The following is a 12,984-nucleotide window of genomic DNA, read 5'->3' on the forward strand; positions in this document are numbered from 1 at the left end:
GTTCGAAGTCTTTGGGATTAGAAACTTCCAAGCCCATTTCAGAGGCTTCCTAGTCCTTGGGAGGAGTGTCTTTTAAAGCACCTGCCAGCCTTAAGTTCGCGTGCTTTCGGAAAGGGGCCGACAGGGTGCGTCTCAGGGGAGCCTTTTGAAATGTGGATTGAGAATTGTGTGAGTGTCTCTAGGAACCTCCATTAACTCCACTTTTCCTGAGTGTAGCTCCGAGCCTGGCCACAGCGGATGCTACCACAAGCCAGGCGCAGCCGGGCCTCGGGAGAAAGCCGGAAGCCCGAGAGGGTGTGGGCGCTCCGGGAGCCAAACGCGGCCGCTCAGCCGCCACGCGCCGGTGGCCCCGCGGGGACTCGCGTTCCGGTGAGAGAGCCCCGGCGCGGCGGGCTCGAGGCGGGGGTTCGGGGTCCCGGCCGCGGGCTCCGTCGGCGGGGCCCGCGCAGCCGCACTCGGCGCGCCGACTTCGGGCTCCTCCTCCCGGCTCCGTAGTAAGCATGGCGGCGGCGGCGTTCGTGGTCCCTCGGGTGAAACAGAAAGCGGGAGCTACGCGGAGAGGGAGCGAAGAGCGGGGCTGAGGCGGCGGCGTCACTGCCAGGAAACAACCCCAACAGTCAGCGCGCCGGCGGCCGCGGCGGCCCTGAGAGCTGACTCTGCAGCTGAGGTAGAGAGACAACGATCAGGAACCCTAAGAAGAGGCGCCAGAGGAGCCGCCTTCTGCCTCAGAACGGCGTGACTCGGAGGTGAGAGCGCGGGCACTCCCTCCGCGAAAGGCGGGGGACACCGAGCCGTCCCAACCCCGTCCCGCCCCGGAGGAGGCGCCGCGGAAACCGTTAGGCTGGGACTGAGGGCCGGGGCACTCTCCAGGGCTCGGCCCCGTCGAGGGGCGCGGACCACCCCCTTCTGTGGGCGCGCTGTGGGCAGAGGTGCAGAGGGGCAGTGGGGCCGGGGACAGGACCGGTCTACTAGTCGGGCACCTGCCGGGGCCGAGCCTAGCCAGGACACGCTTGCGGGGGCGCGGCCGGGGGCGCCATCCAGCCCAAGAGGAGGCGGCATCTAGCCCGAGGGAGGTGGCGCTGGTGCGCGGGCGGCCCTTCTCTCTGTCCCCCGCCTCCTCCCCGCGGCGAGCCGCGTAGCTCCGGAGGGCTCGGGGGCGGGGGCGGGGGCGGGGGCTGGGGCGGAATCCTCCTGAGAGGATCGCCCAGCACCCGCGGCGCCTTCGGCTTTGGCCGCCCGGCAGCCGCCGAACTTGAACGCTTTTCTGAAGAGAGTTTTCCCCGCTCATCTTGGGGTTAAAACCTCGAAAACCCGCCCTCTGTTTGATCCTGCGTGGCTGCTTCCAGTACCTGGCAGTTCCTCTCCCCGGGCGAGTTAACCACCTGTTCAGTCGGGAGGTGGACTCGAGGCTGCAGTCCTCGCCCGGTTTTAACAACCTGGATCTTCGAACTTTTGACACGGCTTTGGAAACGACGTCATGTGTTAGGTAAAGGAAAATGAACAGATAATTTCGCTGTCAGATTGCGAGCAGAAGAGGGACTGTTTTAATGGATGTGGTCGTTAATTGTTCTTTTATTCAACTGTTAGCGTTACAAGCCTTGGGATATTTTAGAGGGTGGAATGCGATGATTTGCTGGGGGTGCTAGAGATTGTGAATTCGAGATTTTCTTTTGTGAGATTTTACGTAAGTTCCTTTGGACACCTTTGTGTCTGACCATCTATTAAATAAGAGTCGCAGGCTGATGAGATTTTTTTTTTCTTTTTGCGGTATAATCATTATGTGTTCACTATGGGTTTTTAAAACCGAACAACGTAATTATTTTGCTTCTTACTGTGGTCTGTGTTTTTTAGTTCTTGAAACCAAAGTGTGTATGCTTCTGTATTGTAGGAATGAAATAACAGTTGAACTCTTACTATAATATTTTATCACCATGCTGTTACCAGCTCCAGTACTAAACATACGCCACTCAGGAGTTTGAGCCATATGTTAGGCAGAAACGAATTGAGTTTTGTGGTTCTGATCTTATGTTTGGATAAATATTTAGTTTTTGCGTATTTACTAACTCTTGTCATCTTGTGTCACCCACAAATGTTCAAGTGAGTTGAATCCCCTGTCTTTTGGATATTTTCTTGGTTGAATTAATTTTTCTTAAGTAATGAGATGAAGTACTCACTGAGACAGATGGTGGCCCAACAGAAAACAGTGATGAAGGATTTTTACCACATCTTTTATGAAATATAACCTGAAATGTTGCTTTTAGCTTTGTAGCCTACTAATCTTGCTTTCTAATCACACCAGTTAGTGGGAAGAAGGGATGATGACAGGAGAAACATCTTGTTAAAATTTTAATATTAAATCTTATATTTAAATTTTTTAGCACTACTACATTAAATTTTACTATATTGTCTTGTTTCATTTCATAGATCATCTGTTAGTTTTCTATGTGTAGGTTAACTGGAAAATTTTTTATCCCAGGCTGGCTACCGTTAGCCACCTGTATGCTTCTGAATTAACTCCCTCTTTTTCCCTTTTGTCTGAATCCTCCAAATCATTGAATGCTCCGGAAAAATAAAATCCTGGTTAACACTGTCAAGCATAGTTATAAGGGTAATTAATTTATCCCAAATTAATAATAAGCATTAAAAAAAACATTCTAGGATTATCTTCTTTTGGTGACGTCTGTGTCTTCACTTCCTCTATCTGTGTGAGTAATTGAGACCTGATTTATTTTAACACACATGTAATGATTACTCTTTACTAGTCACATTTCTACAATATAATAGTAAGCATATTTTATTACTAATTTAAAAATTTCTCCCTCTTCCCTGACCAGCCAGACATAGCTAAGGGCTGAGACATCCTTAACCCCCCGAAAAAAAGAGGGAATGCATGATTCATATTCTCATTGTCTTTTGTAGTTTTAGGCAAAGAGCATTTAATTTATACTTTATCAATTTTTAGTAATATTTGCGCTGTTTTAAAACATTTGCATTTTTTAAGATGTTCATGACATCCAAGGCTTGTGTATTTTATAATCTGCCAGTATTTTTAAAATACAATTTGATGAAGTAACCAAAAACGTTTTTTTTTTGAAACATTGTTGGTGCATTTTTGAATGAAAATGAATCTAGATCGTGTCTTTGAGAATGGTGTAGGGATATGCACATGATTTCCAATTTTATTAGCCAGATAACTAAGTGATTAGTGTTTCTGGTTTTTTTTTGTTTGCTTTTGTTTTTTTTGTTTTGTTTTTAGCATTGCCTAGCGGACTTCAAATAAACTCACAATATTGTAATTCCGAAGGTTTAGAATATGGTGCATATTTATTCCATTGAGCCTTTTACTGCTTCAGTTTATCACATTGCAAAACAAGAAATATGGCTCCCATATGTGTGAATGTCAAAAACTACTTGTTAAAACGAAATTAGTGGCCATTAATGTTGAAAGGCAAATTTTGTACTTTTACATGTATTGTGAGCTTTTATAATTTTCTTAATATTTTGGTCTTATTTCAGATAATTATTCAGTGGTCTCTTTTTATATCTTTATTCTTACCTTTCTGTCTTCCCACTGTTGTGGTTTTGCTTGTCTTTAATATATACTTTCAAGTTTTCTGTGTAACCTGTGGTCTTCCATCAAGTTCCTTTGTGGGTGTCATCTTTCAATGTTTCCAATCACTTATCACCCATTACCAGTCCTTGGGCTATTTTTTCCTCCAAGATTGAGAACTACACCTGGGAGATGTCATGTGCTTGCAGGGTGATGCAATGTTATTAAAGTGGGGATACAAACATAGTGTGATGTCTTCCTTCCTTCAAGTAGTTTACAAATTAGTTGGGGGTACTAGACTAATAGTATCATTAGCAAAAATTATAATATGGTATTATTAAGTTGTGTGACACCAACTGGAATTTAAAGGGAAGTGAAGCCAGTGAGAGCTAGAACAATCCTGGAAGGCATTTGGAGGGAGTCAGAGGAAACTTAGAAATGATTTAGATAACAAAAGGAAAGGCATTCCAAAAGAGATTCACAGGCAGAGTTGGAAGTAGTAGTAGAATAAGTAGTCCAAGAGCATCCAAGGACAGAAATTGGGACGAAGAAAGAAAGAAAGTTAGGTCGAGATGTTAGCTTAAGCACCAGGGCATCAGAAGAGGAAAATAGGCAGAGCTGGACAAGACAGTTTGTATCATTAGGAACCTATCACTGAAAGAACTATACCTCAGCTTTGACATATTAATAGCTTAAGCTTTATGTATAATGGATAGCTTATATGTGTTTGTTTGTATGGCTTAGGTCAGGGGTCGGCCAACTTTTTGTGTAGAGTGCTAGATAATTAAATATTTTAGGTTTTGCAGGCCATTTACAGTCTCGGTTGAATGTTCTTGTTTGTTTGTTAGTTTTTTATAATCTTTTAAAAACGTAAAAATTTTTACATTGTTGTCTCAAGAGCCAAACAAAAACAAGCCATCTGTGGACTGGATTTGGCCAGGGGACCTAGTTTGCTGACTGCTAGGTAATAATTGGCAAAGTAATTGTCCATATAGCACATACTGTGAAATTTCTTGCATCATCTTGTCTATATGGTGGTTTGGGCGTTTTATGACTATCATGTATATATTTTTCCTTATGTTATCCTAAAAAAAAAGTATGTAGAAATAAGTGCTTCTGTAATTGTTATTTTGTGGCCAGACTTCTAACAAGAGCCTAGAATAGGTCTCAGAATTAGGAAGTGAAAGACGAAAAGCCTTTGAGTCAGGCCTTACTACAGTGAAAATAGCTACACAGTGGCTTGATTTAGAATTTGTATAAGGTTAGGTGTATCAACTGCCTGTGCTGGTTTTACATTTTTAAAAACAGCTGGCAGGTTAAAAACCTTGTCTAGGATGCTGGTGGTCTGTAAGTGACAACAGAGGAGCAGGCAGTAGGGATCTTTGTTTTTAGAAGTAGTCTAGGATGAGTTAATAAAGGGACAAGCAGTTGGACATTCTGCAGTACTCCAGAAAGAATCACTCTGTTATGGAACAGTCTAATAATTGATATTTACATTGATGAGCTTGAGTCATCAAGAAAAGATTATATCATGTGCACATTAAGGCACGGAAGAAAGACCTAGAGATCTCTTTACAAATAATTAAGATTTTTTTAAGATAAGTTATGGTGATTTAAAGGATATAAGTATCAGCTGTTTTGAAAAGTAATTTACATGAAACATCTCTGAAGTTTCTAAATTTATAGATATCTATTTCTAAGGCAGTTCTGTTTCCTTCAGTATACTGTGGTTCATGTGCCATTACCAGGTGAATAGTGATGCCTCACGCTGTGGCTGCACAAATCAATTGGCTGGGGCAACTGTATTTTTTGTGGCATCAAGAGAGCAAGAATACATCATGAGAGCATTTTTTCATTAAGCAGGCATCAGTACATTCCATATATCAGGGTTAGTATTAGGTGCTGGAAAAAGTACAGATGTATAAGATGGGAAGCAACCTGGACAGAATCAGTGATGCTTCTTTCTTCCTGTTAAAAACATTAAAACCAACCAAACAAAATCATGAAACTTAACTTTTGTACTTTAATTTATTATTAGCATTTTTCATACTTAGTACATACAGTACCGTAATTTTAAGGCAATATAAAGCTTTTGATTTAAATAACAGCCTTCATAAATTGCTACTTAATACAATTTTTACTTTTTAAATTTTAGTTTAAGGAGAAATTCATGCCCTCCCTCTTTTTTTGTGAATGCTTGAAACAGCTTCACCATGCCAGCTGTTTCCATTTGCTAAACAAGAGGTAAATTAAAGTACCTTGGATGGTGACTCAAAAGTCTAGTTCTTAGTTCTAACTTCACCACTTATTACCTATATGATTTTGGGTTAGTTTCTTGCAATCTTGGTTTTCTAAGCATTAAAATAGAGAATAATATCTATCCTGTTTTCCTCAAAGATATTGTGAGAACCCACAGAGATGTTGGAAACTATAAAAGCATTAAAATACATACCATAAAAGTGCTTACATTAATGCTACTATATTGGAAGCAATGCAGCCTTTTTTTTTTTTTAAGACCAGAGTTCAAGCTTTATCCTCCAAAGTTCTGTAAACATAGTATGTTTCCAGTAAACATTCAGTTGAGCTCATTGAATTTTAGAACCTATACTTGCTTATTTTTAAAATCCTATACAAACCTGCCAGATATGTGGTGGTATTCTCATTTTACAGATGAACTATACTTCTGATTGACTTCCATATCTCTTTCTCCTTCACTTCTTGAGATCTCTTATGTGCTAGTTGCTAGAAATACAAAGTGCAATGTATACTTTGAAGTAAGCCTTGGTGTAAAAGTTACCTAAGTTTGGTAAATTAGATTGTGTATGTTAATCAGCCTCTATCAGAAATGCTGGGGGAAAAAAAAGTGTTGTATCTGTTTTCTTTCCTCAGAATCCATATTTTAATATATATTTGAACTTTTAAAAACTTAAATGATTTCGCTTCACTACTTCTTCAGTGAGGGATTACTTTAATTGGTTTATGTATATTCTAAACCGACAGACACATAATTTGGGAGGCAAAAAAATCTTACTTCTCTAGGGGTTCTAAACAGATATTTAAGTACACTTTAAATCACAGTTTAGACTTTTATTAGAAAGTAATTACGTGCTTTGCTTTATAGAAGTATATGCCATATACAGCAACTACTTTTGTTGAGCCATAACTTGAAGGATTAGTCATTTCATTTACTTTAAAATCAGTTTTTCTTAAGATTTGCTTAAATAAAAAGTGAAAATTCATAATTTGCGATTTTATGTTTAAATTTTCTAAATTTTTTTTGTTTTCTTAAGACAGACATTCTCAATTATGTCTTTGTTCTTATGACTTGATTTTTTTCCATGTAATATTTTCATTTGTAATATATACCTAAAAAAAATTTTTAGCATAGTACCTTCATAGTTTATGAAGTACCTTTTTGTTTCTTTAGTAACTATTAGGATCAGCTTTTCCTGATGCTTCAGATTGGTATTCCTGAAATAGTATGTTCGCATTTTTGTTTTAATCACTTGAACCTTACTAAAACTGGCCTAGTGTGTGTGACAGAGTAGCCTTTGGGTAAAATGTAGGGGCTACTGCCCCTCTAACCATCTTTTAGGCTGCTTCCAGGATATTTAAAAAACATGAATTTATTCAGATCATTCCCCAGTTTTAGAAATCGAAATCACAATACAATTCCTGCTGCATTAATTATAATTTCCTTTGTCTTTGAGAGTCCATACTCTGTTGATATCCTATTGTGTCATCATTTCTTACCTCTTTACAACTTTGTGATATAGTGTAGAGAACATATTTCTCATTAGGCAGCCACAGGATTGTTAGTTGACTTCTCATACTGGCTGTATAGAAACATGAGTGTGCTACTTTACCTGTATGAGCCTTGGTTCGTTCATTTTACAGTGTAGTAATAATAGTAGCTATCTCCTAATATAGACTGTACAAGAATTAAAAGATCCTATTTAACATGACAAGTAAAATGCTTGCCATAGGATATTTATATCTAGAACTTTGACAGACATACCTAATCATTGTCACTCAGGCATCCTGCATATCATTCATTTATTCATTTGCCTATCATTTGTTGAACATTTAAAATGTCCTAGATACTTAGAATATGAATGTTGAATGTCACAAAAATGAATGTCACACTCCCTCCCCTTTAGAAATTTACAGAATGGGATGAGAGATAATGATATGTAAATAAATACATATTTTTAAATAATTAAAATATCTTGTGTCTTTTCACTTGTGTGAGTCCTTCCTGTCTTTTAATATTTAAATGCAAAATGTTTCCATAATACCCACAGAATATCTGGGTTGTATATATCATACTGTAATGTATATATATTTTTTACTTGTCTAAATCAGCTATTCAACTATGAACTCCTTGAGTTTGACCAGTACTACTGGAGTCAGCAACTTTTTTAATATAAGAGAAGGTAGTAAATATTTTAGGCATTGTGGACCATATGGGCTCAGTTGCAACTACTTAAACTGTGCTACAGGAGCACAAAAACAGCCATAGATAAATTATAAACAATGGGCATGACTGTGTTCCTATTAAACTTCATTTACGAAACTAGGCAGCAGACCAGATTTGGCCCACAGGCTTTAGTTTGCCAACCTCTGCAATGGTGCATGCATATACTTTTATTTGTGCTTGACAAATAAAAGGCACTTAGTAAATAATATGATTAATAGGCATTAAACACTTTCTGTATTCTGGGTGCTATTGCAAAAAACTTTATATGTATCAGTTTACTTAAGCCTTAAAACATCTCTCTGCGGTAGATACTATTATCACCAAATGTCATAGAGTAATAATAGAAGCACTTTCATTAATAGATAGGAACACAACATTGGTTCAAAAGTCTTAGGCAATACATTAAGAACAAGAAAAATAATTAACCTGTAAATAAAGGGGGGAAATGTATCACTATTATTTAGAGTTGATATGACTGCTTACAAATACAAATAAATATAATACAAATACAAATAGCAAAAAAATATGAGATAACAGAAAAAGATTTGTATTAAAAAATTTCAGTAAGCTGATTGGCTATAAGATAAAGTTAGAAAATTCATTAGCCTTCTTATATATCAACAATAACCAACTATGAAATACAGTAATAAGAAGTAGCAGCCTAAACTATAAAATACTTAAGATTTTAAAATGTGTAATAGCTATGTGAAGAAAACTGCAAAAAGATGTGAATGGATGGAGGAGTATTCATGAATGTGTCAACTTAATGCCATAAAAATGACAGCTTTTACTAAATTATTCTATAAAGTCAATGCAGTTCTAATCAGAAATTCAACAGGAGTTTTAAAATGGAATTTGACAAACTGATGGTTCAAGTTTTGAGAAGGGAGCATGCACAAGAATGGCCAAGTAAATTTCAAAAAGAAGTATAATAAATGGGACCCATCAAAGGTCGAAACATTATAAAATTACAATTATTAAAATAAGAATTTGGAGTAGGAATAGGCATATTGATCAAAGGAATAGAATAATAAATTCAGGAGAAGATCCATAGATAAACATGGATAAAGAAGAATTGTATGATAAATGAATGAGTAATGGAAGAACTGGTCTATAAAGGGTGTGGGACAATCAACTGTTTAATTGAAGTAAAGATAGTTAGGTACCCACTTCGTGACACTCTCAAAACTAAGTTCCAGGTGGACTAAATGGTTTTTTATTTTTATTTATTTATTTATTTTTGAGATGGAGTCTCGCTCTGTCACCAGGCTGGAGTGCAGTGGCGTGATCTCGGCTCACTGCAACCTCCGCCTCCCAGGTTCAAGCGATTCTCCTGCCTCAGCCTCCCAAGTAGCTGGGATTACAGGTGCCCACCACCACGCCCAGCTAATTTTTGTATTTTTAGTAGAGACGGGGTTTCACCATGTTGTCCAGATGGTCTCGATCTCTTGAGCTTGTGATCTGCTCGCCTCAGCCTCCCAGAGTGCTGTGATTACAGGCGTGAGCCACTGTGCCCAGCCCCGAGTGGACTAAATGTTGATAAATAAAAAATAAAATGACAAAACTTTTAAAAGTTAATTTAAAAACTCGTTGGAGTAGAGAAGGCCTTTTAAGTGAGACATCAAACTTAGATGCCATTTAAAAAGGAAGGCAAGCAATAGACTGGGATAAAATATTCGACATGTAATAGACAAAATTAATATTCAAGGTATATAAGGTGTACCTACAAATCAATATGAAAAAGATAACCTGATAGAAAATGGGAAAGAATGTAAGCAGGAAATTTATAGAGGTAGAAATATAGGTAGCCTGTTAAGTTTTGAAGGAATACTATTGAACCGAATATAAATAGCTTCATCTTTTTAGGAGAAAAGTTTGGCAGTATCTATCCATTTCAAATGTACGTTCTCCTGAGCCAGAAGTTTTATTTCTATATGTCTGTAATATAGAAATGCTATCATTCATTAATAGAGAGTATTGCATGATTATTCCATGCAGAGGAGAAAATGTATGATGGGAAACTGGAAGTAATAAGATCATCATTAGAACAGTTAAATTATGGTGTGCCCTTACACTATAATATTAGATACTTATGAAAAAACATGAAATAGACATAGATGTACTTCTTAAGATATTTTACATGAAAGGGCGAGATACAATATAATACATACACAAAGACACAATTCATACACACACAAAAAAAATACAATACACAAAAGCAGTGTATGTGATTTCACTTACATAACAACCAATCCCAGAAAACCTAACACACAGGTAAGCACAGAGAAAAAGACTGGAAGGGTACACCACAGTTGTTAGCTATAGAAATAGGAGTTGGATTAGGGATCAGGAAAGAGTTAAAAACAATGTTTGTATGTGTATTTTCAAGTATAAGCAAGTACAGCCTTTGTGATATAACAAACATAACAACACATGCAAGGCTTTGTTATGATTGGTCCTGATTAGGACCATTCCTCCTGGGTGGACAGCTTTGATTTATGTCGGTTTTCCCTGCGTAATTTTTAATAGCACTTCCTTTCACTTGCAGAAGCTTCCCAGTTGGTGTCTGAAGTCATTGGTGTTTTTAGAAATAGCAATTTCTGTATAGTGTTGGATCTGAAACTGTGTTAAAGTGGGTTAAAGAAGTGAGAATTCTACCAGTGATTCTTAACCTCTATAACTACAACTGCCAACCAAGACAAAATAAAGTGCTTTTTATTTTCAGAGTTTCTGTTATAAAAACACTTTGCTTTTTTAAATATAAAGTTATAATTTCGAATGTAGTTTTTTTAAAGTCCCATATGTCTGGATATTTTGATCCTCCCCTTTAATATTAAAACCTAATATTTCAAGACAGTTAATGATAGAGGTCAAGAGAGGAATCAGAAGCTTAAGAGGAAGACAGAGTAAGGAGAAGGAAGTTGTTTTTTTTTTTTTTTTTTTTTTTTTTTTGAGGCGGAGTCTTGCTCTGTCGCCCAGGCTGGAGTGCAATGGCGTGATCTCGGCTCACTGCAACCTCCGCCTCCCAGGTTCAAGAGATTCTCCTGCCTCAGCCTCCTGAGTAGCTGGGACCAGAAGCACGTGCCACCACACCCGGCTAATTTTTTGTATTTTTTAGTGGAAACGGGGTTTCACCATGTTGGTCAGACTGGTCTCAAACTCATGACCTCATGATCCGCCCACCTCAGTCTCCCAAAGTGCTGGGATTACAGGCGTGAGCCACTGCGCCTGGCCCGGAAGGTTTTTTTAAAAAGAAGTTGAAGGAAGATGAGTATGATTAGAGGCAATCTTTAACCAAGGCATAGTTGTAGATTTATAAACAAAGAATCTGGTCATCTCAGAAAGGACTACTTTAAGGACTACTGGATTCTGCAGACAAATCTACTTATAGGAAATAAAGAAATGTTACTTGATTTTATTATGATAAAATTATTTTGGAGGAATTAGTGAAGGAAACATGTTAATATGGTTAAGTTATAGTAATACAGTAGCTTTTACACAGGAACTCAAACTTTCTGTTGTGAATTTAGTTACCAATGTATTACTGTGGCCAGAAAATATTCAGAAACTACAGGTTTAATCTTCAGTCCAAAAATCACACCAATGGATTTGAAGTTCTACAAGAGCAAAGTTAACAATCTATAATATAAAAACTAAAGTTTTATATAATACTTCTAAAAAGGACAGTAAAATATTTGGAAGTGAAAATAGGATTGTCCCAGGTGTAGTTGCCTTTTGGCTCTAAAGGGTAGCCTATGTGCTCCAAAGACACTAGACAGCTAGAGCTATATGTGGAACTTAAGAAGATGTTACTTGAAAGAAAAACTGATCTATGTGCACACTATCAGTCCTTTAATGGACTGGGGTTCGTTTCTTGGAAGCAGTTCTTTCTCTCTTGTTTCCATAGTTTCCTGACTGGAAGTATCTTTTTGATCAAGATTTCCTTTGAAGTCTATTTTAACAGGATTTTCATGTTAGTATTAAGGTATAATTTCTTAGTGGGAGAATGGGGGCTGTATCTCCTAAATGTCTAATTAAATTTAAATTTAGTATATCTGACTAAGAAGGGTGAGGATGGTGGCTTGAATGCCCTCTTCCCTTTTAAACCTTTCTTCACTTAAGGGACATGAAAGAGTGAGGCTTATCCATCCGACCAACACTACTCTTTCCTTCTTTCCAGTGGATGTGGGATTGGAGAAGAATAAGATAAATAAGTTACAGTAAATTTGTTGCTAACAATCTGTGTAAATTATTGATTTCTTTGTAAGTGTATGAACACTTTCATTAGGTTAAATTGTTGATATTTTAAAGTTTTTGACCTCAGTGGCAGTTTCATATGGTTTGACCTATTGCATTATGAAACTATGGCTATAATCACTGCCCTGTATATAAAAATGTTATGGCACTTAAACAAAAATACATTATAACTTATTTAAATAGCATAAATTTGTGCGTGCTTTGGCAGCACATATACTAAAATTGGAACGATGCAGAGAAGATTAGCATGGCCCCTGTGCAAGGATGACACACAAATTCATGAAGCGTTCTGTATTTTTCAGACTCTAAACCAACAAAGATAAAAAAAGACAAAGAAGGGCATTACATAATAGTAAAGGGCTGAATGCAACAAGAAGAGCTAACTCTCATAAATATGTATGTGCCCAATACAGGAGCACCCAGATTTATAAAGCAAGTTTTTAGAGACCTACAAAGAAGCTTAGACTCCCACACAGTAATAGTGGGAGACTTTTAACACCCCACTGTCAGTATTAGATCAACGAGACAGGAAATTAACAAGGATATTAAGGACTTGAACTCAGCTCTGGATCAAGTGGACTTAACAGACATCTACAGAACTCTCCACCCCAAAGCATAAATTCATAAACAGTACATCACTGATGAAATGTCAACATCCAAGCCAAATTGGAATGTTCATGAATACACCTACTTTAGC

The 12,984-nt window shown here is 37.9% G+C and overlaps 1 protein-coding gene and 1 pseudogene across 5 annotated transcripts in view, besides 7 other annotated features; both read left to right on the top strand.

The window, feature by feature from the left end:
- The window catches only part of FNDC3A (fibronectin type III domain containing 3A), a 234,489-nt gene that overhangs the window by 141 nt on the left and 221,364 nt on the right, over nt 1-12,984 (top strand). For 3 of the 5 annotated variants that reach the window (NR_103528.2, NM_001278438.2, XM_017020443.2), the window contains exon 1: nt 1,231-1,486. The exons of 1 other annotated variant lie outside the window; for it this stretch is intronic. The gene's annotated coding sequence lies outside the window, so the exon portion shown is untranslated. Of the gene's footprint in view, nt 1-480; nt 747-1,230; nt 1,487-12,984 lie in introns of those variants that run through there. One more of the 5 variants, NM_001079673.2, reaches the window with a different exon arrangement.
- Nucleotides 16-635: an enhancer, noted in NCBI's record as "H3K27ac hESC enhancer chr13:49549583-49550202 (GRCh37/hg19 assembly coordinates)". NCBI's record gives its function as "activates a minimal SCP1, AML or CMV promoter by ChIP-STARR-seq in primed H9 embryonic stem cells {active_cell/tissue: H9 hESC(primed)}" and the evidence as "EXISTENCE:reporter gene assay evidence [ECO:0000049][PMID:30033119]".
- Nucleotides 16-1,275: a biological region, named in NCBI's record as "H3K27ac hESC enhancers GRCh37_chr13:49549583-49550202 and GRCh37_chr13:49550203-49550822".
- Nucleotides 196-465: a silencer, noted in NCBI's record as "silent region_5337". NCBI's record gives its function as "represses an Ori minimal core promoter by ATAC-STARR-seq in GM12878 lymphoblastoid cells {active_cell/tissue: GM12878}" and the evidence as "EXISTENCE:reporter gene assay evidence [ECO:0000049][PMID:35858748]".
- Nucleotides 446-745: an enhancer, noted in NCBI's record as "active region_7740". NCBI's record gives its function as "activates an Ori minimal core promoter by ATAC-STARR-seq in GM12878 lymphoblastoid cells {active_cell/tissue: GM12878}" and the evidence as "EXISTENCE:reporter gene assay evidence [ECO:0000049][PMID:35858748]".
- Nucleotides 636-1,255: an enhancer, noted in NCBI's record as "H3K27ac hESC enhancer chr13:49550203-49550822 (GRCh37/hg19 assembly coordinates)". NCBI's record gives its function as "activates a minimal SCP1, AML or CMV promoter by ChIP-STARR-seq in primed H9 embryonic stem cells {active_cell/tissue: H9 hESC(primed)}" and the evidence as "EXISTENCE:reporter gene assay evidence [ECO:0000049][PMID:30033119]".
- Nucleotides 796-1,275: a silencer, noted in NCBI's record as "silent region_5338". NCBI's record gives its function as "represses an Ori minimal core promoter by ATAC-STARR-seq in GM12878 lymphoblastoid cells {active_cell/tissue: GM12878}" and the evidence as "EXISTENCE:reporter gene assay evidence [ECO:0000049][PMID:35858748]".
- Nucleotides 1,416-1,515: an enhancer, noted in NCBI's record as "active region_7741". NCBI's record gives its function as "activates an Ori minimal core promoter by ATAC-STARR-seq in GM12878 lymphoblastoid cells {active_cell/tissue: GM12878}" and the evidence as "EXISTENCE:reporter gene assay evidence [ECO:0000049][PMID:35858748]".
- On the top strand, nt 12,480-12,585 carry RNU6-60P (RNA, U6 small nuclear 60, pseudogene; annotated as a pseudogene).

Source organism: Homo sapiens, chromosome 13, assembly GCF_000001405.40.
Source record: "Homo sapiens chromosome 13, GRCh38.p14 Primary Assembly".
Lineage (NCBI taxonomy): Eukaryota > Metazoa > Chordata > Mammalia > Primates > Hominidae > Homo > Homo sapiens.